This window comes from Homo sapiens, chromosome 3, assembly GCF_000001405.40.
Source record: "Homo sapiens chromosome 3, GRCh38.p14 Primary Assembly".
Taxonomy (NCBI): domain Eukaryota; kingdom Metazoa; phylum Chordata; class Mammalia; order Primates; family Hominidae; genus Homo; species Homo sapiens.
In genome coordinates, this window is record NC_000003.12 from 17,630,636 (window position 1) to 17,658,144 (window position 27,509).

Below are 27,509 nucleotides of genomic sequence, written 5' to 3' on the forward strand. Positions count from 1 at the left end.
TAATGGCCTTACAACGGCCTCTTAGTGTTCAACTGAAAGAAAGAATCGTATGCCTCTCATTTGAAATAAAAAGCTATTTTTATTGAGAGCCAAGACAGGCCAAAAGTTAGGCCTCCCAGGCTGGGCACGGTGGCTCATGCCTGTAATCCCAGCACTTTGGGAGGCTGAGATGGGCCGATCACGAGGTCAGGAGATCGAGACCATCCTGGCTAACACGGTGAAACCCCGTCTCTACTAAAAATACAAAAAAAAAAAAAAAATAGCCGGGTGTGGTTGCGGGGGCCTGTAGTCCCAGCTACTCGGGAGGATGAAGCAGGAGAATGGTGTGAACCCGGGAGGCAGACGTTGCAGTGAGCCGAGATGGCACCACTGCACTCTAGCCTGGACGACTGAGTGAGACTCCGTCTCAAAAAAAAAAAAAAAAAAAGTTAGGCCTCCTGAACCAAAAAGCCAAGTTGCAAATGCAAAGGAAAAGTTCTAAAGAAAATTAAAAGTGCTATTCCAATGAACACATGAATGTTAAGAAAGTAAAATAGCCTTAGTGCCGATATGAAGAAAGCATGTGTGGTCTAAACAGAACATCAAAACAGCCACAACATCCCCTTAAACCAAAGTCTAATCCAGAGAAAAGCCCTAATTCTCTTCAATTCCATGAAGATGAGAGGCAGTAGTGAGAAACCTGCAGAAGAAAAGTTAGAAGCTAGCAGACATTGATTCCTACGGTTGAAAAAAAGAAGCCTTCTCTATAACATTAAAGTGCAAAGTGAAGCAAGTACTTATATAGTAACTGCAGCAAGTTGTCCAGAATAGTTAAGATAACTGATGAAGGTGGCTACACTGAATAACAGATATTCAATGTAGACGAAACAATATACAGTATCTTCTTTCAATGTATTAGAAGAAGATGCCATTTAGGACTTTCATAGCTAGACAGGAGAAATCAGTGCCTGGCTTCAAAGATTCAAAGGACAGGTTGACTACTCTGTTAAGGTCTAATGCAGCTGGTGACTTTAAAGCCAATGTTCATTGACCATTTGGTAAATCTTCAAGCCCTTAAGAGTTATGCTAATTCTACTCTGTGCTCTAGAAAAGGAACAACAAATGCCTGGATGACAGCACATCTGTTTGCAGTGTGATTTATTGAACATTTTAAGCCCACTGTGGACCTACTGCTCAGAAAAAAAGATCCCTTTCAAAATACTGCTGCTCATTGACAATGTGCCTGGCCACCCAAGAGCTCTGGTGAAGATGTACAAGGAGATTAACGTTGTTTTCATGCTTGCTAATATAATATCCATTCTGCAGCCCATGAGTCAAGAAGTAATTCTGACTTTCAAGTCTTATTATTTAAGAAATACACTTTTTAAAGCTATTGCTGCCATAAACAGTGATTATTCTAACGAATCTGGGCAAAGTCAATTGAAACCTTCTGGAAAGGATTCATCATTCTAAATCCCACAAAAAATATATCATGATTCATGGGAGGAAGTCAAAATATCAACATTAACAGGAGTTTGGAAAAAGATTATTTGAACCCTCACGGATGACTTGAAGGAGTTTTCAATATTTCCGTGGAGTAAAGAACTGCAGGCAGGGTGGAAACAGCCACAAAACAAGAATTAGAAGTGGAACCTGAAGATAAGACTTTAATTGCTGAAATTTTATGATAAAGTGTGACTGGATTAGAATTTGCTTCTTATGGATGAGCAAAAAAGTAGTCTCTTGAGATGGAACCTGCTCCTTGTAAAGATGCTGTGAACACTGTTGAAATGATAACAAAGGATTTAGAATATTCCATAAAATCAGTTGATAAAGCAGTAGCAGAGTTTGAGAGAACTAAACTCAATTTTGAAAGAAGTAGTTCTATTGTGGGTAAAATGCTATCAAACCTAATCACATGCTACAGAGAAACCTTTCATGAAAGGAAGAGTCAACTGATACGGCAAATTGCACTGCTGTCTTATTTTAAGAAATTGCTACAGACAAGCCAACCTTCAGCAACCACCACCCTGATGAGTCAGCAGACATCCACACTGACTGACCCACAACCAGCAAAAAGATTACAACTCACTAAAGGCTGAGATGATCGTTCACATTTTTTAGCATGAAGGCTTTTTTTTAAAATTAAGGTATGTACGTTGTTTTTTACACATAATGCTATTATACATTTATATACTATAATATAGTGTAAACATGATTTTTATATGCACTGAGAAACCAAAAAATTCATGTGACTCACTTTATTTTGATCTTTGCTTTACTGTGGTGGCCTGGAACTGAACCTGCAATCTCTCTGAGGTATGCCTATAGTGATAATACACCCTTTTTCCCCAACAATTATAACTTTATTCCAAGTATTAACATAATTAATTTCTTTTATTCTGTCTATATTCTTTCCTTCTTCCTAATGACATGTTTCACCATCTGCAATAACAATTCAAAAAGAAACAAAATAAGAAAAGGTTTAATACACCCTCCTGAAATATCCATTATCTAAGCATTTAAAAAACTACTCATCCGGCCGTGCACGGTGACCCATGCCTGTAATCCCAGCACTTCAGGAGGCCGAGGCGAGTGGATCACCTGAGGTCAGGAGTTCGAGACCAGCCTGGCCAACATGGTGAAGTCTCGTCTCTACTAAAAAATACAAAAATTAGCCAGGTGTGGTGGTGCACACCTATAAATCCCAGCTACCTGGGAGGCTGAGGGAGAATTGCTGGAACCTGGGAGGCAGAGGTTGCAGTAAGCCGAGATCACACCACTGCACTACAGCCCGCTCCAACAACAGCGAGACTCCATCTCAAAAAAAGAAAAAATAACTATTCACCCTAATTTAGGTCAGAGAATATGTTTCCATAGAACAGGTAAATGTTCTACTTAGGCTAAAACTTAAGACTCTAAGATGAAAAAAAAATAATAATGCTGTTAATCATTGAGAGAACAGAGCTAAGGATCTGGAAGTAAACAGCATTTTATCTTTCAATCCAAGTTACCCTTAAAGAGGTCGGCATTTTGTTATGCTTAAGAGAGTGTAGAATAATATACTTTGGATTAGAATCATTCCAACACTAAATATAAATGCTTTTTTAAAAATTAAGCATAGTTCTCAATACATTTAATTTAAAAATTAATTATAAAATTATAAATACTACAGGAATTGATATCAATCAACAACATATTATTAGATATGGCCCAACCCTTCTAGGAACTCCAAATTTCGTGTTTTACTATTCCTGGGAATAGTTAATATTATTTCACACAATTCAGGAGTCATTGAATCCTGATCCCAAAGCAGTTTAATATTTTAGTCAAAATATGAATATGAAAAGGTGCTCAACATAACTGATCATCAGGGAAATGCAAATCAAAACTACAATATGATATCATCTCACCACAGGTAAAATGGCTTATAGTTATAGCCAAAAGACAGGCAATAACAAATGCTTGTGAGGATGTGGAGAAAGGAAGCCTTTCTACACTGTTAGTGGGAATGTAAATTAGTACAACCATTATGGAGAACAGTTTAGAGATTCCTCAAAAAAACTAAAAATTGAGCTACTATATGAGCCAGCAATCCCACTGCTGGGTATATGCCCAAAAGAGAGGAAATCAGTATATCAAAGAGGTATCTGCACTCCCATGTTTGTTACAACACTGTTCATGATAGCCAAGATTTAGAAGTAACCTAAGTTTCCATCAACAGATGAATGAGTAAAGAAAATGTGCTACATATAAACAATGGAGTACTATTCAGCCACAAAAAAAGAATGAGATCCTATCATCTGGAACAACATGGGTGGAACTGGAGGTCACTATGTTAACTGAAATAAGTCGGGCAGAGAAAGACAAATATCACATGTTCTCACTTATTTGTGGGATCTAAAAACCAAAACAATTGAACCCATGGAGGTAGAAAGTAGAAAAATGGTTACCAGAGGCTGGGAAGCGTAGCAGGAAGGAATAGAGGGGACGTGGGGATGGCTAATAGGGTAAAAAAAAAAAAAAAAAAAGTGAATAAGACTAAGTATTTGATAGCACAACAGAGTGATTACAGTCAATAATAATTTAATTGTACTTTTAAAAACACTTAAAAGAATAGTTGGATTGTTAACACAAATGATAAATATCTGAGGGGATGGATACCCAATTTCCGTGATGTGATTATTACACATTCCATGCCTATATCAAAATATCCCATGTACCCTATACTATGTACCCCCAAAAATTAAACATTAAAACATTTTTAAAAAAGAAATGAATCTGCTATCGAATACAATTAAACACAAAAATTAAGTAACAGTTAAAATTAGGATGAAAGTAAAATGATACTTGTAGATTATATGCTTTTTATATGTGGATATAGAAACAAAAAAATTTACAAAAATAATGAGTTCAATACTATAAACTAAATCTACAACTTTCAGCAGCTTTCTTACTTTCAACAATGATCAAGTAGAAAATGTAAGTCAAGGATGACTCCACTGTTTCTGACTGTGCTACTAGAAGGATGGATCTGCTATCAACAGAGATGGGGAAGACTACAGGTGAAATATGTTTGGAAGAGAAAGAACAGGAGGTCAGTTTTTAGTATATTGAGTTTGAGATGACACTCAGATAGCTAAAAGTAGGTGTCAAACACATTAAATGGATCATAAGCCTGAAGTTCAGGTAAGAGAGGTAAGTTGATCACTTTGGTATTTAAAGACATAACATTGATGAAATCACCAAGGCAATAAATGTAGATAGAACAATTAAAAGGTCAAGGCTGGGTGTGGTGTCTCACGCCTGTAATCCCACCACTTTGGGAGGCCGAGGCAGGTGGATCACGTGAGGTCAGGGGTTTGAAACCGTCCTGACCAACATGGAGAAACCCCATCTCTACTAAAAATACAAAATTAGCCGGGCATGGTGGCACATGGCTGTAATCCCAGCCACTTGAGAGGGTGAGGCAGGAAAACTGCTTGAACCTGGAAGGTGGAGGTTGCAGTGAGCCGAAATCATGCCACTGCTCCAGCCTGGGCAACAAGAGAAAAAAAAAATTAAAAGGTCAAATGACTGAGTGTTGACACTATCCTAATGAAAAGGTAAAGAACAGAATGAATTCAGGGTACTGGTGCAGGCTTCTGTTCTAACTGTGATGAGTTTAAGATGGAATGGGAGGAGAGGAATTGGAAAGACCAAGTATAAACAATTCCTCAGAAGTTTTACTGCCAAAATGAACAAAGAAATGGAACAAAAGCTGGGAGGGCAAGTGACATTTTTAAAAGAATGTTTTGGCCGGACACGGTGACTCATGCCTGTAATCTCAGCACTTTGGGAGGCCAAGACAGGCAGATCACTTGAGGTCAGGAGTTCAAGATCAGCCTGGCCAACATGGTAAAACCCCACCTCTACTAAAAATACAAAAATTAGCTGGGTGTGGTGGTGGGCACCTGTAATCCCAGCTACTTGAGAGGCTGAGGCAGGAGAATCGCTGGGACCCGGGAGGCAGAGATTGCAGTGAATTTCGCTGCTGTACTCTAGCCTGGGTGATAGAGCGAAACTCCATATCAAGAAAAAAAAGAATGTTTTTCAGATGGGAAAAAAAACAGCATATAAGCATATTGATGGGAAAGATCCAGTAATGAGAGAAAAGTTAATAAAGCAGAAGATAATATTTCTGATCCTGTGACTCCCCTATCCCTATGAGATACTTTTATTATTCCTGTTAACTATGGGAGGGACCAAAAGGTTAAATAACTTGCCCATGGTCATGCAATGAACTAGTAAGTTGTAAAACTCTTTATATTATGCTGCCTTTCTGAGTAATAAGAGAAATTAGTCAACCAGTTATTAAAATATGTTATTTAAAGCTATAATAATTAAAAGAATATAGGCTGGGCACAGTGGCTCACGCCTGTAATCCCAGCACTTTGGGAGGCCGAGGCAGGCGGATCACAAGATCAGGAGACCGAGACCATCCTGGCTAACACGGTGAAACCCTGTCTCTACTAAAAATAAAAAATAAAAAAAAAAATTAGCCAGGCGTGGTGGCAGGCGCCTGTAGTCCCAGCTACTAGGGAGGCTGAGGCAGGAGAATGGCATGAACCCGGGAGGTGGAGCTTGCAGCAAGCCGAGATCATGCCACTGCACTCCAGCCTGGGAGACAGAGCGAGACTCCGTCTCAAAAAAAAAAAGAATATAGTAGTAGCATAAGAATAGATTTACCAACTGACAGACCTTACCAACAAACTCAAAAGTGACCTACTCAAGGATATGTGATAATTTAGCATTTGATAATGATAAAAATTTGTAAGACAGTAGGGTTAACTAGATCTCTCCTTAGCTTCTTATACTAAATGAATGCCAAATGGATAAAAAATTTAAACCTAAGAAATAAAATCATTTATTATTTTTTTTTTTTTGAGACGGAGTGTCACTCTGTCGCCCAGGCTGGAGTGCAGTGGCGTGATCTCAGCTCACTGCAACCTCCGCCTCCTGGGTTCAAGCAATTCTCCTGCCTCAGCCTCAGGAGTAGCTGGGACTACGGGTGTGTGCCACCATGCCCGACTAATTTTTTTTTTTTTTTTTTTTTTTTTTTTTTTATTTAGTAGAGACGGGGTTTCACCCTGTTAGCCAGGATGGTCTCAATCTCCTGACCTCGTGATCCGCCCACCTCAGCCTCCCAAAGTGCTGGGATTACAGGCGTGAGCCACCACACCTGGCCCCAAGATAAATTTAAAATATAAAATAATATTTTTATAACCTTGGAATGTAGCCGAGTTTCTATGGATGTTTTCAAGTAACAAATATGACTATGCAAAAATTTAAAACTTTTGTGCAATGGGAAAAAATCACCATAAATAAATATGAAATATACACAAACTGGAAAAATATTTTTATCTTATATAACAGACCCGAAGTAGATATTCTTAATATAAAAAGACTTTCTACACACTAATACAAAGATCATCACCTCAGTAGAAAAAAGGACAAAAAGTGAACAAAAAAAAAGTTTTTAAGGGACACATAACAAGTTGCACAAAGAAATGCAAATAAAAATAAGTTAATTTCTTCCCAGCTGATAAAGATAAAAAACACTGACAATATCCAGCAGTGGCAAGAGTATGGCCATTCATATGTTATCACGTACCACTGGGGAAAGGCAAACTGGAGCATCTTACTGAGCGGTAATTTAGAAATATGATTTAAAATGTTAAATGCACTTAATCTTTGACCCAACAATTTCACTTGTAAAATTTATCCTGAAAAGACAAGTGCACAAAAATATATATACAATGATCCCACTTACAACATTACTTATTGGAAACAATCTAAACAGTTACTATTAGGAAATTAATTAAGCAAATTATAGTACATCTACTCAATGAAATTTTATTAAGCAGTCACTTAAAATGATGCCATATTGCCACAATTATTGACAATAATTGTGAAGTACTTTTTACTTTATTCTTCTTCTTTTTTTTAATACTATTGACATGTTCTACAAAGGCTCATGCATCTTATTTTTTAACAGCTATACTGAAACATAATGAATATGCCATACAAGTCATCCATTTGAAGTGTATAATTCAATTGATTATAGTATATACAGAGTTGTGTAAGCATAACCACAGTCAATTTTAGAACATTTTTATTACTCAATTCCAAAAATTACCCCATACCCATTAAACAGTCACTCCTCATCTCCCTCCAATCCCCCTTACCCTAGCAACCCCAAAACTGCTTTTTGTCTCCATAAATTAGCCTACTGTAGACATCTCATATGAAAAGAATCATCTAGTATATGGTCTTTTGTGACTGGCTTCTGAGTCTGTAGTTTCACTGCCCATTTCTCTGATAAAGCTAAAATTCTTATTTTCTGTGGAAGCAAATGGAACTGACTTAGGAAAAAATTGCCCTGTGACTAATTCAGACTGTCTCAGCAGTAATATAAAGTATAAATTTCACCATCTTCACTTTTGTAACTTTTGCAACAGTACAGATGAATAAAAGTAGTACTGTTTTTCAATAACCACACAATAATGCAACTCTACATTTTATACAACTGAATTTGAAGAAGCCATTTTTCATATTATGGCTGGATTTTTACTACATATTCATACAATGAACATTTCATAGCAGTGAATAAGTAAGAGCTACATGTATCAACATGGATAAATCTTAAAAATAATATTGAGAGAAAATTTTAAGTTATAAAAGAATATATAATAAAAAATACAGACAATAATAAATACTGACAAGGATGTAAAAATGGGGATCCTCATACATTGTTAATGGGAGTGTGTAACAGTATAGCCACTTCAGAAAACAGCTGGGAAGTTTCTTAAAAGGTTAAACATAAATTTATCATATGACATACCAATCCCACTCTTAGGTATCTACCCAAGGGAAATGAAAAGAAATATTCACACAAAGACTTGAGCACAAATATTCTTAGCAGATTTATTAATAATAGCCAAAAACTGCAAACAACATAAATGTCCGTGGAATGGACTGACAGATGATGAATGTTTTGACAAGACATACTAGCAATGTAGTAATATTCACCAATAAAAACGAAGAAATTACGGATACCATGCTACAAAATAGACAAACTTCAAAAACATTATGCTCTGGACAAAGATAGGCACCACAGACCAAATATTATATTATTCCATTTATATCAACTATCCAGAAAAGGCAAAGCTATAAACACTAAAAAATAAATAAATAAATTGTTGCCTTTGGTTGGGGGAATGGGGATTAGGAGTTAATGTACATAAGAAATCACAGTGGAGGAATGAAAATGTTCTACAGCTGAGTCATGGTGACAGCCACACAATTTGGTTAAAAAAAAAAAAAACTATGAATTGTACACTTGAAAAGATGAATCATACCTTTTGCACGAGCACAAACTATTCCCCATCCCTCACCAAAGATAACTTTTTGCGTGTAAATTTATAGGAGAGTTGTCAAAAAATAAACTATGGTGGTATCTAAAGAAGGTTTCCACCATAAAAAAGGGGGTCTGAGGGGATCAATTTTGTCACAATAAATTCAAGTGTGTCTGAGTACGCTTTGAAGGTCACTAAACTGCTAGAACACATCAACCTAAGAAAGTAAGATCTCTTACTCTTAGACTACATCAAATCCTAGACGTGAAGGAAAAACAGGTACAGAACTTTTGGTAATCATCCCAACCTCTCTACTCCAGGAATAGCAAATAGGTTTCACTCACACTGAAACTTCTGGCTCCCTAAAGATGGGAAAATTATGAAACTGCCCTATGGCTAAGCAAGAAAGTATGCCATGACCTGATGTCGCAACAAGCATAGGAGAGGGAATGCACATGAGATCATGTATTTGCCATCCCTGCTCTAGCCCACTCTATACTTAGCTAAGAGCACAGTTATACAAACAGCCCCCTTCACCTCTACAGAGAAAAGACAAAGGTGAGATAACCACAGAGAAATATAATACAGAGGATGCAAGGTGTGGGGGTTGAGTCCACCAGTATAACAATAAATGCCAAACTCCACATTTCCTACAAAGGTATCTCCTGACTCCCTTTAACTTTATAGAGCTAGAACATTCTTATTAAATCAGGTGCCATTTGGTGTAGCTAAAGGAGATAATCTCTTTTTATTTAAAAAAAATCAACTTAAGAGAAAATAAGCCTGAATTAGCTTATCTGAATTAAAACTAATAAACTTTATTAAACTTTATTTAACTTTATTAAAACTAAATAAACTTTATTAAAACTAATAAAAACTGTTTCAAAGATTTATTTTAATTATGATAGGGAATCTCAGATTTGGCCAAATCCTTCCACCCAAAATATCAATTTCCTCTTAAAAGAAGAATTATTTTAGAACTTGAAAGTTAGGTTTTAGGGCTAAGGACAATGTTATAAAAAAGAACATTATAAAAGAAGACAAAGAAAAAGAAAACATAATGTCTAAGAATAAACTAATTTAGTCATTATACCTTTTTAAAGATTTCTGCAGTGGAAACAAATGAACAAGTGTTAGTCATCAAAGACTACTACTCATTTGATTCTGCCACAGTCCAAGCTAGAAAAAAATGAAACAAAACATCACAAGCCTCTCTTTAAAGCAAAAATGCAATGCCCTTTTGTCAAGCAGAAAAGAAATAACTTGAAATAAAATATTTTCATAAAGAACAAACTATGGAGTTTCATTATTTCTATACCTAGAATAATACTAATTCAATCAGCTAGATATTAGGCCCTACTATGTGAGAATCTATTAAAGAAATCAAATATTCCTACTAGCCACAGGATATTCTTCCAGGAAATACAAAAATTCTAAATCAATCTCAGCCTTAAAAAAAAAAAAAGTGAAGTAATTCCACACCCACACTTTACCATTTTTCTGCTTTCCTTTCATCTACTACTTGACAGTTATTAAAAGTTAGAACAATTAAGTGAAATTATCGTACGTAATATACTTTATGCAGATATGGAAAATTTTTAAAACAATCCATCTAGGAAGACAGTTAATGTGCTTACTGCTGAGGTATTCTTGAGTGGGTTTTGATTTATTAGGACACCAGGGGTCCTATGAATTAGTCCATTGCTTACTTAAATCATGCCCTTGATCCAGGAAAATCCCATGGTACCATTAACAAAATTATTCACACACAAAAAATACACAAACTACATTCTGTACATCAATAGATGGTGGCTATTGGTTTCATGGAGGGAGTGTGCATAGTGGTTACCAGCATGAGTTCTAGAGCCAAACATCCTGCCTTTGAATCTTGGCTGCAAGATTTTGGGAAAAAAAATTACTTAACCTCTCTGAGCCTCAGCTATGTCATATATAAAGTGGGGACCTAACTCATAAGGTATTGGGAGGATTAAATAATATGATTAATATGATTTGCATAAAGTGCTTAGAAAAGTAACTAACACTTAGAGCTTATTCACTATCATTTGCTACGCACCTTCCTCCTCCTATTCCTCCTCCTACTACTACTGCTACTAATCTTCTACATTCTTTTCTTTCCAATGTAATAAGGCCACCTATGTAACATTTCTCGGCATTTGCTTCCCAGAGCATTTTTTTTCTTACACAGTTTGCTGGAATATTTTATTTGTGGCTGGTTCTAACTTTATGTTAATTGTGCTTTTTGTTTCCTGCAAAAATGCAGTGCCTTACTATTGCTGTATTTAGAATTGTAAATTTCAAATTCTATAAATAAAAAGTTAAATAATTTTACAGGAAGCTAGTCCTGATTATAAATGCAGACTAATGACTTTTTTCCCCTACACAAAAAAGAATAAAATGCAATGTTTTAAAATAGCCCCCAATCTGTTGCTTACAAACAGTATTAGATAGTATTGCTCTTTTATTGATTCAAAAACAGGTACTATTAATTATTGAGTAAGACCTAAATTGGTTAGTTTGTATAGGTTTTGGGTTTATGCTATGAAAATCCTATAAAACTACATCAATTTGGTTAATAATCTTATAACATTTAAAATTTTTTATACTTTTATTTTTCTAGTATTTCAACTCACAACATCCTTCCAAAGGTATTTTCTCATTTAATCAGAGTCAATTAACTGAGGGTGACCATTGTGTTCTGGGCACAGTACTTGGCACACCTCCAGGAGGCACCATTCACAGTGGACTGAAGTGGAAGCAATCTGCAGTTAGGCAACGTGCTCTCTATATATAACCATATATATTATCATGTTTAGTTGATGTGATCTTTACAAACCATATAAGGTAGAGTTATTCCTATCATCGATATTTTATAGATGAAAAAGGAGATTGAGAAAGACAAATTGATTTGCTCAAGATCCCAGAGTCAGTATCCGTCAGAACTAGAATCCAAATACCCCCGATACCTACTATTCACTCACTTTTGATTTGAAGGTCATCTACCATATTTCTAATCTTCAAATTCTTCCACATACTCGTCAACTAACTACAGTGGAGGCCAATTAACATCTCTTTAGAAATTACACAACTCAGGTATCTCTACAATTGTTATCAAAGGATGATTAGGAGAAATGAGACAACAAATTGTGGTCAGCAACAAGTGCTGAGTCTATCCTGGAACTCTGCCCAAGATAAAACCCAAGACATTTCATTACTAAAACTAAGACATTTCATTATAATAGAAGAGCACTTTCACAGTCTCACAGGGTAAGTAAGAACGTACTACATCAAATTTCCAAAAGGGACTTTTTAACTTTTTATTTTGAAATAATTTTATACTTATAGAAAGGTTGCCCAAATAGCACCGAATTCCCACATAACCTTCAATTAGGTTTTTCTAATGAAAACACCATACATAGCTATATTACAGTTATTAAAATCATAAAATTAACATTGGTTCAAACTATTAACTAAACTGTGGGTCTTACTCAAATTTCGTCAGTTACGCCACTAATGACTTTTTTTGATTCCAGAATCCTATCCAGGATTCCACATTACCTTTAGTTGTCATGTGTCCTTAGCCTCCCCCAATCTGTGGGAATTCCTTCTCTTTCATGACTGTAATATTTTTTAAGAGTGCTAGTCCGTTATTTTGTAGAATGTGTCTCAATTTTGAGTTTGTCTAACGTCTTCTCATGATGAAACTGAGCTTATATATTTTTGGCAAGAATATCATATAAGTGATGTGCCCTCTTTGGTGTATCGTATTATATCAGATGTTAATATATCTTATTACTGTTGATGCTAACCTTCATCACTTAGTGTCTATCAGCTGTCTCCTCCATAAAGTTACTATTTTTCTCTTTGTAATTATTAAACATCTCATGAATATACTTTTTAGACCTATACAAATATTCTATTTCTCCTTAAATGTTCACCCTTACTTTTGCTATCCATTAATGAGTCTTGCCTGCAACAATTATTACGGTGGTGTTTGCCTCATGGTGATTTTCTATTTTCCTCATTCTTTATACATTTATTAATTGTAATTTAAAAGAATGGTTTTTAAACTGTATCAAATGTCAAGGTCTCCAAAAAATTATCAAAAAGTTAAATGCAAAAAGCCAACAATAAATGTAGTGGACAACAGTATTTCATATTCAGTCATAATGACCTTAACTCCCTGAATCCGATGTCTAGCAGTTCCTTTTGGAAGGATCTGTGTTTGAGTAAGTCGCTAATGACATCTGTCAGCAGCTGTACTGTTTTGTTTTATATAATTGTAGCCTCATTTTTTATTGCAAGTAATGCATCACGATGCATATTTAAGGTTTTCCAAATAAAGAGTCTTGAGCAATCTATTTTAAAGTAGCTAATACCACAGCACATTTGAGGCTAAGGGGTAAGCATTCCTCAGGAACCAAAACAACGAGGATAGCAAATATTCTGCCCCTGCAAATCTGATCTCATTCCTCAACCTGAAACCTTGCCACATAAGCATAAAATTATACCAGTAAGGAGATATCTCTCAGAATGGTGAATTCCAGAGCTCCAATTTTCAAGACTATTATTCCTATGACAGGATGAGGACCTGCAAACATGAATTATAAGCTTAAATTATTCACTTACTCTTTCACAAAAGGAAAGCCCATCAATCTAATGCCAAAAGACTTCAAGTTTATTTCTAAAGGTTTAAAGAAAGTGGTTTATTTATCAAAACTTTATCCTCTGTGTTTGTTGATTAAATACTTCAGTCTTACACTGAGGTCAAAGAATGTCAACCAATTACTATGTAAGAGAAGTCCTACTTCATAGCACTTAACGTCACCCAGAATACACGGAATTATTTTAATAGGCAATCTTGATACACTATTTATTCCCAAGTATATTTCAACTATTATAAGTAAAACCTACTTAATCTAATATCATTCTTCAAACTAAAATCACAGTAAACTAGCAACTAGCACAGTGCCTGGCACATAACAAATATTAATGAGTAAGTACTGACAACAATCCATAATTTCTTCTAGACTACTTCCACTGCAGGCTACAAAAGTTGAAGTTTCCTTCTGCACATTCAAAAAACTACACATTTTAATTACTTCTTAAGAAAGATATTAAAATGACTCAGAATCTAATCTAAGTGATGTGGAAATATATTCCTAAACTTTATCATCCGAAAACTACAATATTTTTGTAAAGGACATCAAGTCATTTTTAAAAGTGATTTATTTTCATAATGGATATTTGGGAGACAAAAATACACGAGAAAACAGGAAATCCCACTCATAATTCTGATCTTACAAATTACTGTCATGATTAGTCCTGGAAACTAGTGCAAGATTATGGTTGCAGGATTTATGATGACTTCATTTTTGGGTGAAAATTTTAATTTATTCAAAACAAAACAAAACAAAACAAAACACTCTTGGTCTAAAGCATGGCCATGAGCAAGATTTTATTTAAGAGTCTTAACTATTAAACGGGGTCACTGGGGAAGTTGTGGTAGTCATTTTCTGACAGTTGCTTAGAAAGCTTACAAGGTACCTAATTTGTATCTGCATATTCTCTGAAGATAAATATAAATATAATATAGAATACTGCTAGCCTATGCTTTAAAACATTGCTTATTACTGAAATGTCTATTGGAGTAGAGTGAGAAGAAAGAAATTGGTTATGCAATGCTTAGGAAAAACAGCTTCCTATTTTCTCAGATCCCAAATGACCAGAGGAAAAGTCTAACCAGCAGGGGGAGATACAGAGGAGAGTAGTAAGACAAAGAACAGGCTATAGGCAAGAAAAGCAGTTATAATTATAGCTGGGAACACGGAATTTGTTAAAGGAAGTCTACTGTATAATTATACTTGAAAATTTAGCAAGATGCCCAGAGGCTGACTCGCAGCTGTCAGGAACTGGTAACTCTACTTCTGTTCATGCAGCGACCACTTCGGCAACTAAATCCACTATCCAGACATTACTAGAATTGACATTTAGAGTAAAGGAATAGATGGGTGCATGAAACTGTTTTTCTACAATGGATGAAAGCATCCATTTCAACAAAGTAACACTCTCTCTTTAGTTTCCTTTCTAGGCTTAGGTTTCCTCTTTGTATCCTCTCCCTCACAGAACCTAAACATTCTCATAAAAGCTATAATCTAGGTACAAATCTCTTTCTTGAATTCTGACTAGACCATGAACCAATTCTACTACCAACTACAACTCCAAATTCAGCATGCTTACAATGAAACTTATTTCCCACCACCCTCACCTTGTCACAAAGCTCTTTCCCCTTCCCCCCTACTTTTCTATTTCTCTAGTAGCACCAGCATTCTCTCAGGAAAACATGACAACTCATGTCTCTCTTTCCCCTTCCCGATCTCCTACTCTATACTGATTCAAAGCATCAAATCCTATTCGTTTCTCCTTAAAATTCTGTCATCTATCAATGAAAGATGTATCAATGTTCTAATCCCTAGTGTCACACAGAGAATGGGACCTTATTCAGAAATAGGGTCTTTACAGAGGTAATCAAATTAAACTGAAGTGATGAGGATGGGCCCAAACCCAATATGACTGATGTCTTTATAAGAAGGGTAAATTTGGATGCAGACAGACACTCAGAGGGAAGATTAGGTGGAGACACACAGAAAGAAGATGGCCATGTGACTGAAGTAATATAATACATCCACAAGCCAAGGACTGCCAGCAAACAACAGTAGCTGGAAAAATCAGAAAGGATTCTCCCCTAGAACCTTTAGCCTACACTTTGATTTCTGGACTTCTAGTCTCTAGAACTGAAACAATAAATTTCTTTTGTTTTTAGCCACTCAGTTTTTGGTTCTTTGTTATGGCATCCCTAAAAAACTAAACAGCACCATAAACTGAATTTGGACTCAATTTTCTACCATCATCAAGCCCGCTACTTATCTCTGAATAGCATCCCATCCACCGATTTTGTCATGGCAGATTCCTATGCATCATTCTTGCTCCTCTTTCAATTACTGAGGCCTGCTCCCTAAATACTATATATCTCTTTAATCTGTCGATCTTTCCATTTTTACATCAATAATCTGGTTCAGGCAATCACCATCATGCCCCTGGACTAATGTTCACGAAATAATCCCCATGTCCTTGCTTCTCTCTTGTTCATTCACCCTTAGCAAGCGGACTGTTTCTAAAATGCTAATCTGACCACACTTTCAGTGGATTACAGTTGGTAGTATCCATGGTCTCTCAGGATAAAGTCTGATTTTTTTTTAAATTTTAGATTCATGGGTAAATGTGCAGGTTTGGGCTTCTAGTGCACCCATCACCCAAATAGTGAACACTGTATCCAACAGGTAATTTCTCAACCCTCCCCTGTTCCAACCCCTCCCACTTTTTGAGTCCCCAGTGTCCCTTATTTCCATCTTTATGTCCATGCATACATACCCACTGCTTAGCTCCCAATTTTAAGTAGAACATGCAGTATTTTGTCCAAATTGTTTATAATGGGTGAAAAAACTTTACATGTTCTGGACTCCAAAACTAAAGAGAAAAAAAGAGACCATCACTCACTGCTCCCACGTCAAATAAACAGGCAAATATTTTCAGGTTCTGAAACACACCAATGCTTTTCACATCTGCTTGTAACTCTCTTCCCCTTATTTAATCATTCATTCATTTAACACATAAACACAGTGAGTATCCATCATGTGCCAAGTATAGTTCCAGAAGCTAGATAAACCACAGAAAACAAAGCAAAGTTCCTACCCTCATGAAGCTTACAAGCTTACATTCTAAAGACAGTGGTTAAACAGCTGATAAACAAACAAAAATAAATATACACAAACTCAGAAATTATTAAGTGCTTCAGAGAAAAGTAAAGCAAGCTACAGGGAATAAGGGAAGTTGGCGTAGGGAAAGGAGCAAGGTTATGATTTTATATAAGGTGCTCAGAGAACACCTCCCTGACAAGGTGACACTTAAGAAAAGACTTAAAGATAGTGGGGGAAAAATTTCTGTGGATAACTGAGGGAAGGGTTTTCCAGACAAAGGGAAGAGCAAGTGCAAAGACCCTGATGTGGAGCAGACTTGCAGTACTGAAAGACTGTCACTGAGCCACTGTGACTGCAGTAGGGGGAAGGAGCAGAATTAGTGCAGATGAGGTTTTAGGGGAGTCGAATGATATACTGTCTTAAGCCCATCGTAAACTTTTAAAAAATAATGAGCAAAATAAGGACAACAGTTGAACTTCTTAGTAGCCTGATCTGATAATCATTACAAAAGAATGACTTTGATCCTAGGTAAAGAACAAATCTGTGGAGTAAGGAAGCTAGTCCAAAGGGAGATAGCTAAGAGGATTCTGCAAAGTCCAGGTGACAATGGTGTCTTGAAATGGAGTAGAATATACAGATTCAATGCTATTTCTATCACACTACCAACAACATTCTTCACAGAAATAGAAGAAAATATTTTAAAATTCGTATGAAACTAAAAAAGACACCGAATAGCCAAGGCAATCCTAGGCAAAAAGAACAATGCTGGAAGCATCTCATTACCCAACATCAAACTATACAAGGCAACAGTAACCAAAACAGCATGGTACGGGTACAAAAACAGGCACGCAGACCAATGGAACAGAATAGAGAGCCAAGAAATAGGGCCGCACATCTATGACCATCTGATCTTCAAAACAGCAGATAAAAACAAGCAATGGGTAAAAGACTCTCTATTCAATAAATGGTGCTGGGATGACTAGCCATATATAGATGATTGAAACTGGACCCCTTCCTTACTCCATACACAAAAATCAACTCAAGGTGGATTAAAGACTTAAAATGTAAAACCCCAAACTATAAAAATCTTAAAAGACAACCTAGGCAGTACCATTCAGGACATAGGCACAGGCAAAGATTTCATGACAAAGACACCAAAAGCAACTGTAACAAAAGCAAAAATTGACAAGTGGGATCTTATTAAACTTAAAAGCTTCTGCACAGCAAAAGAAACTATTAACAGAGTAAATAGACAACGTACAGAATGGAAGAAAATTTTTGCAAACTATGCATCTGACAAAGGTCTACCATCCAGCATCTATAAGGAACTTAAACAAATTTACAAGAGAGAAACAAACAACACCACTGAAAAGTCGCCAAAAAACACAAACAGACACTTCTCAAAAGAAGACATACATGCGGCCAACAAGCGTATGAAAAAAGCTCAGTATCACTGATCATTAGAGAAATGCAGATCAAAACCACAATGAGACACCACCTCACACCAGTCAAATGGCTAGTATTAGAAAGTCGAAACATAACAAATGCTGGCAAGTTTCCAGAGAAAATGGAACACTTATACACTGTTGGTGGGAATGTACATTAGTTCAACCATCATGGAAAGCAATATCGTGATTCCTCACAGAGGCAAAAGCAGAACTACCATTCAATCCAGCAATCCCATTACTGGGTATATACCCAGAGGAATATAAATCATTCTACCACAAAGACACAGACACATGAATGTTCACTGCAGCACTATTCACAATAGGAAACACATGGAATCAACCTAAATGCCCATCAGTGACAGATTGGATAAAGAAAATATGGTACATATACACAATGGAATACTATGCAGCCATAAAAAAAGAATGAGATCATGTCTTTTGTGGGAACATGGATGGAGGTGGAGGCTATTATCCTTAGCAAATTAACGCACAACAGAAAACCAAATACCCCATGTTCTTATAAGTGGGGCTAAATGATAACTTATGAACACAAAGAAGGAAATAACACACACTGGCGTCTACTTGAGGGTGGAGGCTGAGATGAGGGAGACGAGCAGAAAAGGTAATTATTGGGTACTGGGCTTAATACCTGGGTGATGAAAAAATATGTACAACAAACAACTGTGACACATGTTTACCTATGTAACAAATCTGCATGTACCTCCAAACCTAAAATAAAAGTTAAAAAATAAAAATAATGCACTCAAAATTAGAAGATATTTATGCGGCGAACAAACATATGAAAAAGTGCTCATTATCACTGGTCATTAGAGAAATGCAAATCAAAACCACAATGAGATACCATCTCATGCCAGTTAGAATGGTGATCATTAAAAAGTCAGGAAACAACAGATGCTGGAGAGGATGTGGAGAAATAGGAACGCTTTTACACTGTTGGTGGGAGTGTAAATTAGTTCAACCATTGTGGAAGACAGTGTGGCGATCCCTCAAGAATCTACAATTAGAAGTACCATTTGACCCAGCAATCCCATTACTGGATATATACCCAAAGGATTATAAATCATTCTACTATAAAGACACATGCACACGTATGTTTACTGCGGCACTATTCACAATAGCAAAGACTTGGAACCAACCCAAATGTCCATCAATGATAGACTGAATAAAGAAAATGTGGCCCATATACACCATGGAATACTATGCAGCCATAAAAAAGGATGAGTTCATGTCCTTTGCAGGGACATGGATGAAGCTGGAAACCATCATTCTCAGCAAACTAACACATGAACAGAAAACCAAATACCACATGTTCTCACTCATAAGTGGGAGTTAAACAATGAAAACACATGGACACAGGGAGGGAACATCACACACCGGGGCCTCTTGCGGGGTGGGGGGCTGGGGAAGGGATAGCATTAGGAGAAATACCTCATGTAGGTGACGGGTTGATGGGTGCAGCAAACCACGATGGCACATGTATACCTATGTAACAAACCTGCACATCCTGCACATGTACCCCAGAACTTAAAGTATAAAAATAAAATAAAATAAAAATAAAACTGGTATGTCAAAGAGAAAAAAGATGAAAAAGAAATAAAAGAAATGGGGTAGAGGTGGTCAGAAATGGCTGGATTCTAATAAGATGACCAAAAAATGCACATGTACATGGACAGGCCTCTGCCTAAATAAGACACCTTTTTATTACTTTAATAAATTTCAACAATAATATAACAAAGTAATAATTTCAAATGGGTAAAGATTTTTATTTCTCTTCTACTCATAAGAAAAAATTCATCAGACAGAAGAGAAACCAGAAGCCAAATTGATTTCTTAAAGACAAAAAAAAAGTCATACTTTTGAATTTGGTACGATTCTCCCAAGGCAGGGCTTTCACATAGTGGCTCTGTATTGATGAAAGTATTCCCCTTCCTACACCTGGTTTAAAGTTGCTGCAGGAATTTTATTCTTTTTCTGAGGGATCATCTTTAATATATTCTACCTAGTGATGTAATTCTAAAATCTTAGCTGGTAACTCAATGTGTAAAGTGGTGAATGTACTAAAACAGTGACTTTGGGTACAGTAGCTCTGATTATCACATCCCTTTTCAACTTCATTTATACAAGGCAATCCCTTTTGACTGAAGGAACATTCAGATTTTATACTGCATTGACATGTAAGAATTTCATTTTATTAATCTGGAGTACTCCCAGTGCTATCAGGTCAATTTAATCACTCACTAGCAATTAAAAATATGGCAACAATACTATTATTGGGATAGCTGCATATCATTTTCCTGGAAAAGAAAAATCAAGATTTTTTTTCCTTCCTTAAAACTTAGCTAAAGTTGTTATTCAATTGTTTTTCTTAAAAGTGAGTTCTCTCATTTATTTGAATCAAAAAAATTCTTAAATATCATTTAAGTCTCATATCTATAAAATACATAACGTTTTCATTTAAAAATTGAACACTCAAAAAATTAACACATTTCCAGCTTTATGGAAAAATAAGAAAAATCAGTTTCCAAGAAGAGAAAACAGAATGTTTATAATGTAAGAAAACAGCTTTACGATCAATAAGCATCCCAGAATATAATCATTCTTTCGATGTATCTAACATAAGTTACATCATCAGACCTATATTAATGTAGGTCCTCACAGTAATATTTGATTTTTCAGAATTGTTAAGAGATGGTTTCAGCATCTTCAAAATGTTCCATACTTTGTCCATTAATTTACTCCTTGTCCATATTCAAGACCAGTCTGGCCAACATGGTGAAACACCGTCTCTACTGAAAATACAAAAAACTTCGTCGGGCATGCGCCTGTGATCCCAGCTACTCAGGAGGCTGAGGCAGGGGAATTACTTGAACCAGGGAGGCAGAGGTTGCAGTGAGCCAAGATTGCGCTACTGCACTGCAGCCTGGGTGACAGAGACTCGTCTCAAAAAAAAAAAAATTTTTTTTTACATTTCCTCCCCCACTCCAGGAGAAACCACTGGGTTACAGTATTCATGTCAATATCATATATCCATTGTTAGGTGAGGAGAAGGTCAGGAGTTCTGTTCTAGAACTTAAAACCCAAGCCAGTGAATATGCATAAGAGTGAAAACTCTCACAAAAACCAGAGGTTCAAGGTCCCCTGATTCTGCCTGAAAACCCCAAAATGAGAACGAAATAATGCAGAGGACATCGGATCTTCCAGAGCTTCTGACCACATAAGGAAAAGATTTCCTAGGTTGAAAGGGTGTCAGCATAGAAGAAACTCATCTTTTTAAAACAAGATGACCTAGGACTAAAGACTTGATTTTAAACCATTAAAAAAGCCAACTCATATTCCTATTTGGTGGAAATATATTCAAGGGTTACAGACAAATTTGTAAGTCTCTCAAGATTAAGGAAAAATAAATTTAAGAACAGCCTTTATAGACCTGATCTAGTCCTAAGTAGAGGACTTTCTACTCTCATTTGCCATCTTATCATAAGTTTCTAGTAGAATAATCTTTCTTCCTTTCTCTACCCTACTATATAAAATATAAAGCATTTTTAAAAATCAATACTACATTATATTTATCATATGAAAATAAATTATTTATAAAGGAAGGCTCAAAACTACATCGAAAACTTCAAGTCTGAAATGAAGAAATATTTAAAAGTATAAAATGCTTCCTTAAACTGTTGTTCAGGTATTTATTATACATGTTTCCTTAAACCGGTAAATTTCCTCTACATTGGGAGAAAAAGTATTCTAAATAAGGACAAAATGCATATAACTTAAAATGATAATAAATATAACACAACAAATTCTTGGACTCTAGCACTATATCTTGTTATCATTATAGATGGAAAAATAGGTAGAGTCTGTCAACAATCAAGTCCAGAAAAAAGTAGTTTAATTAGAATGACAAATACCTTCAGGTTTTAAAACATAACTCACTGTGTGACATTTAAAATCTACAAAGAATATTTCTGCAGCACCCTGATTATTCTGTAACAGAATTAGACTTTTTAAATCAAATGAAAGCCAGAAGAATTAAAGACTACCTGCACTAGGAAGTTTGTTAGAATTACCATATGACCCAACAATTCAACAAGTAAATGTGCATACATGTTCACTGCAGCACTATTCACAATAGCCAAAAGATAGAAACAGCCCAACTGTCCATCAAGGGATGAATGGATAAACTGTGATATATACAACGACATATTGTTCAGCCATAAGAAGAAATGAGGTACTGACAAATGCTAAGATACGGACAAACCTTAAAAACACTGCTAAGTGAACGAAGATAGACACAAAAGTCACTATTATTCCACTTACATGAAATATCTATATTCTATTATTCCACTTACATGAAACATCCAGAATAGGTAAATCTACATAGTCAGAACACAGACTGGGAGGAGTATGGGGACAGGTGAAAAATGATTAATGGATACAGACTTCCTTTTGAGGTGATGAAAATGTTTTAGAACTAGATAGAGGTGGTAGATTGCACAATTTTAAACACTTGATTTTATGTTATATGAATTTTATGTTATGTGAATTTTATGTTACCTTAAAAAATAAAATAAATAATAATGCTGCCACATCACCAGTAATAAGACATCATTTACCACTGGTATGATACACTGAGTGTATCAGAGGACATCATCTCTACAGTATCCTTCTCAATAATGTATAACCTCAGTCTGATCATGAGAAAATACCAGACAAGGCCAAATTGAGGGATATTCTAAAATATAGCTGACCAGTGAGTACTATCCAAAAGTCTGAAGGTCATGAAAGACAAGGAATGACTAAAGAACTATCACACACTAGGGTAGACTAAGGAGACATAACAACTAAATGTAATGTAGATTTCTAGATTAGATCCTGAAACAGGAAATGGTGGAAAAACTGGTGAAATATGAACAAAATCTGTAATTTCATTAATAGTACTATACTAACGTTAACTTCTTAGTTTTGAAAATTAAACTATGGTTACATAAGATGTTAACATTAAGGGGAGCTGGGAGAAGGGTACTATTTCTGCAACTCTTAAATTATTTCAAAAGAAAAAGGAAAGTAAGAAGGAAAGAAGGGAAGGAAGGATGGGAGAATGAGGCCTAGCAACCAACCTTAACTTCCTCCATGAACATATATATTAAGAAAATGCTGACATAAATTAAGTGAATAAGGATTAGAGGGGTTATTCTAATGGCAAGAAATAATTCACAAAATTTGCATCTACTTAGGAGATATGCATTCTTTTTGGGGTGAGAGAGTAGATTCCTCAGTCAAGTCAGCTTAATTAAATTTTAAAAATCAGGTTATGCAGAATTTAAACTAGTATTGACATTTTCGACAGCAGACTTCAAAATTAAAACAAGCAAAGTCAAAGGGAAAAAATCAAAACAAAACACTTATAATTCCTATAGGTTCCTACTATATTTTAAATTTACTATTAAAATGAGAAAAGTATATTCATTTTAGCAATATCACTAGAATTACACTGACAAATTTGTTTGATAATTTAATCAGATTTAGTTTTACTTTAAATCTGTAACCTTCTTCTTAGACACATAATGAAATGATTGAAAAAAAATTTTGATATGTAATTAACAAATCAGTTTGTGTCTGGACATAAAGTTCTTAGTTGCCATGCCATTATGTAGGAGGTAACTAACAAAAACAATTATCTTGAAACTGTATACACCAATCATTTTAAAAATGAAACCCATACATTGAACCAGCCTTGCAACCCAGGGATGAAGCCCACTTGATCATGGTGGATAAGCTTTTTGATGTGCTGCTGGATTCGGTTTGCCAGTATTTTATTGAGGATTTTTGCATCAATGTTCATCAAGGATATTGATCTAAAATTGTCTTTTTTGGTTGTGTCTCTGCCTGGCTTTGGTATCAGGATGATGCTGGCCTCATAAAATGAGTTAGGGAGGATTCCCTCTTTTTCTATTGATTGGAATAGTTTCAGAAGGAATGGTACCAGTTCCTCCTTGTACCCCTGGTAGAATTTGGCTGTGAATCCATCTGGTCCTGGACTCTTTTTGGTTGGTAAGCTATTGATTATTGCCACAATTTCAGAGCCTGTTATTGGTCTATTCAGAGAGTCAACTTCTTCCTGGTTTAGTCTTGGGAGGGTGTATGTGTCGAGCAATTTATCCATTTCTTCTAGATTTTCTAGTTTATTTGCGTAGAGGTGTTTGTAGTATTCTCTGATGGTAGTTTGTATTTCTGTGGGATCAGTGGTGATATCCCCTTTATCATTTTTTATTGCGTCTATTTGATTCTTCTCTCTTTTCTTCTTTATTAGTCTTGCTAGCGGTCTATCAATTTTGTTGATCCTTTCAAAAAACCAGCTCCTGGATTCATTAATTTTTTGAAGGGTTTTTTGTGTCTCTATTTCCTTCAGTTCTGCTCTGATTTTAGTTATTTCAGTAAACTCTCACAAGAACAAAAAACCAAACACCGCATATTCTCACTCATAGGTGGGAATTGAACAGTGAGAACACATGGACACAGGAAGGGGAACATCACACTCTGGGGACTGTTGTGGGGTGGGGGGAGGGGGAAAGGATAGCTTTAGGAGATATACCTAATGCTAAATGAGGAGTTAATGGGTGCAGCACACCAGCATGGCACATGTATACATATGTAACTAACCTGCACATTGTGCACATGTACCCTAAAACTTAAAGTATAATAATAATTAAATTAAATTAAATTAAATTAAAAAATGAAACCCACCAATATAAATTCTATAAACTTCCACTTTCATTAACCATATTCACATCGTGGCATCCAAATACTATATATAACCATAATCCTAATAATGAGAAAACAATCATCTTCATTAAACCTGCAATAGGTTGAGGATCCCTAATCCGAAAATCTGAAATACTACAAAATCTGAAACTTTTTGAACGCTGATGTGATGCTCAAAAGAAATGCTCATTGGAACAAATATTCCAAAATCAGAAAAAAAATCCGAATTCCAAAATACTTCTCATCCCAAGCATTTTGGATAAGAAATACTCAACTTGCACTAAAAAGAGACATTTAAATACACTTGATCTTAGCCAAAAGGCCAAGAAGTGATACAGACATTTAAATAAAGAACCACGTATTCTCACTCTCAGAAGGAACCAACCCTGCTGACACTTTGATTTCATACTTTCAGCCCCCAGAAAAGAAAATACATTTCTGTTTTTAAGCCATACAGTCTGTAGTACTTTGTTACCGCAACCTTAGGACACTAATACAGCTATTATGCAGCAAATGAAGCAGTGTACTCCTGTATTCACTCAGTAGCCTTTGCCTAGAACATCTTTCAGATTAAAGGAGCAATTTTCTCAACTCCTATAGACCAGCATACTTTATTGAAACTAGCGATCACAATCACTCTCTCAAAGAAGCTGCCCTGAATCCAGTCTCTGAGCCATGGCTGCTAGCTGTATACCACACCAGCAACAATAAATCGGACATTGGGTTGGCACCAGGCTCAGGGTCATCAGTAAACCAGAACCTTCAGAACCTGGTTCATTTGAAAGGAAGGGCTGCTCAAATTTTCTGTGCCTCTCAAACAATTTGAATCATCTATGGAGAAACCTCCCTTCTGCCTTAGTTGCTGAGGTAGGAAAGTTAACAATGCAAGCCAAAATGATATGGAAACAGAAACTCCTGCTGGTAGCCAGACAGAAAAGACGGCATACAGAGTAACAGTAAGTTTATTTGATATGTTCCCTGAAAACCAAAATTACTTCCTATAATCTTAAAACCAGGCCCTGTTCTCAGATTCCCATGAAAGCCCCTACTTCCTATTCCTGCTACACACACATCTTTTAAACATGAACTAACTTCAGACACTCCTCTCACACACAATCCAAAGTAAAACAGAAATAGAGATGACCCAAACCCAGATCCTACTCTTCAGGAGTTCATTCCAGTGTATGTCAAATACTACTTTTTTTAATATGAGCTGAACTGTGTGCTGAATGCATTTCATACACTTTCATATGTTTTTTCGCTAGAAAATGATGAACTAGATATTTTATTTATCATCAAACATACAGATGAATATATATATATATAAAATGCGCATTCGAATGGAATAGTTCAAGCACCTAGGCCCACACTGCTGATGGAATGAGGTACAGATTTGTCAAGGAGCGACAGGATGGCTGGCTCTCCAAAGGTGTCATGGGAAAGTCATTATCCTATGAATTTAATAGGTTCCAGGTCTAGCCTTCAGCCACACTGACTAAAAACTGGAGATTGATAGAAACTTGCCCAAGGACACACAAGTAGCAAGTAAAAAAGGCCCGAATTTGAACCTTGTCTGCTGAAGTCTATCTTTTAATCACTATTCCACCACCAAAAAAAACAAAACAAACAAACAAAAAACCTGGAGCATCCACCTGCAACTCCCTGCGTATATCTCTATATACAGAGAGGTAGAAACCAGAATATTAAAAATCTCCCAACAAAAGCTGGGGTAAGTACTACCAACTTCAACCTTTGGGCCCTTCCTTGGATGGCAGCCAATCCACTCTCCACCCTCAATGGACAAATTCTTTCTTTTTTTTTTTTTTTTTTTTGCGGGGGGACAGAGTCTCACTCTGTCGCGAGGCTGGAGTGCAGTGGCGCAATCTCGGCTCACTGCAACCTCCACCTTCCAGGTTCAAGCAATTCCCCCTGCCTCAGTCTCCCGAGTAGCTGGGACTAGAGGCATGTGCCACCATGCCCGGCTAATTTTTTGTATTTTAGTAAAGACAGGGTTTCACCATGTTGGCCAGGATGGTCTCGATCTGCTGACCTCGTGATCTGCCCGCCTCGGCCTCCCAAAGTGCTGGGATTACAGGCGTGAGCCACCATGTCCGGCCGGACAAATTCTTTCTTTAGCTGCATCAATATAGTCAATCAGGAAAGTGGCCAAGGCTTCCAAGTCCATTAGTCATTCTGCCTCTTTAGAGACTTTACATCTCTGTATCTACTTTCCTTCCTGTAGATTTTAAACTCTCAACACCTATCTTATTTCCCTTATGACCAACTACTTGAGTAAAGCCTTTCTGCAACTCCAATTTATTAACAACATATTCAGTAAATTTCACTACTGAAAATTCAGCTATTTTATGCAAAAACATAAATACAGTCATGTGCTGTATAATGACATTTCAGTCAATGTCAGATCACGTATAGGATGGTGGTCCCTTAAGATTATAATACTGTAATTTTACTGTTCCTTTTCTATGTTTAGATAAACAGATACCATTGTGTTACAACTGCCTACAGTATTCAGTAGAGTAACATGCTGTACAGGTTTGTAGCCAAGAGCAATGGACTACATCATATAACCTAGGTATGTGGCAGTCTGTACATCATCTAGTTTTGTA

At 36.1% G+C, this 27,509-nt stretch overlaps 1 protein-coding gene across 65 annotated transcripts in view; it reads right to left on the bottom strand.

The window, feature by feature from the left end:
- TBC1D5 (TBC1 domain family member 5) overlaps positions 1-27,509 on the bottom strand; it is a 585,470-nt gene that overhangs the window by 473,474 nt on the left and 84,487 nt on the right. The window contains exon 2 of one of the 65 annotated variants that reach the window (NM_001349076.2): positions 16,326-16,421. The exons of the other annotated variants lie outside the window; for them this stretch is intronic. The gene's annotated coding sequence lies outside the window, so the exon portion shown is untranslated. The remainder of the gene's footprint in view (positions 1-16,325; positions 16,422-27,509) is intronic. 65 annotated transcript variants of the gene reach the window in all.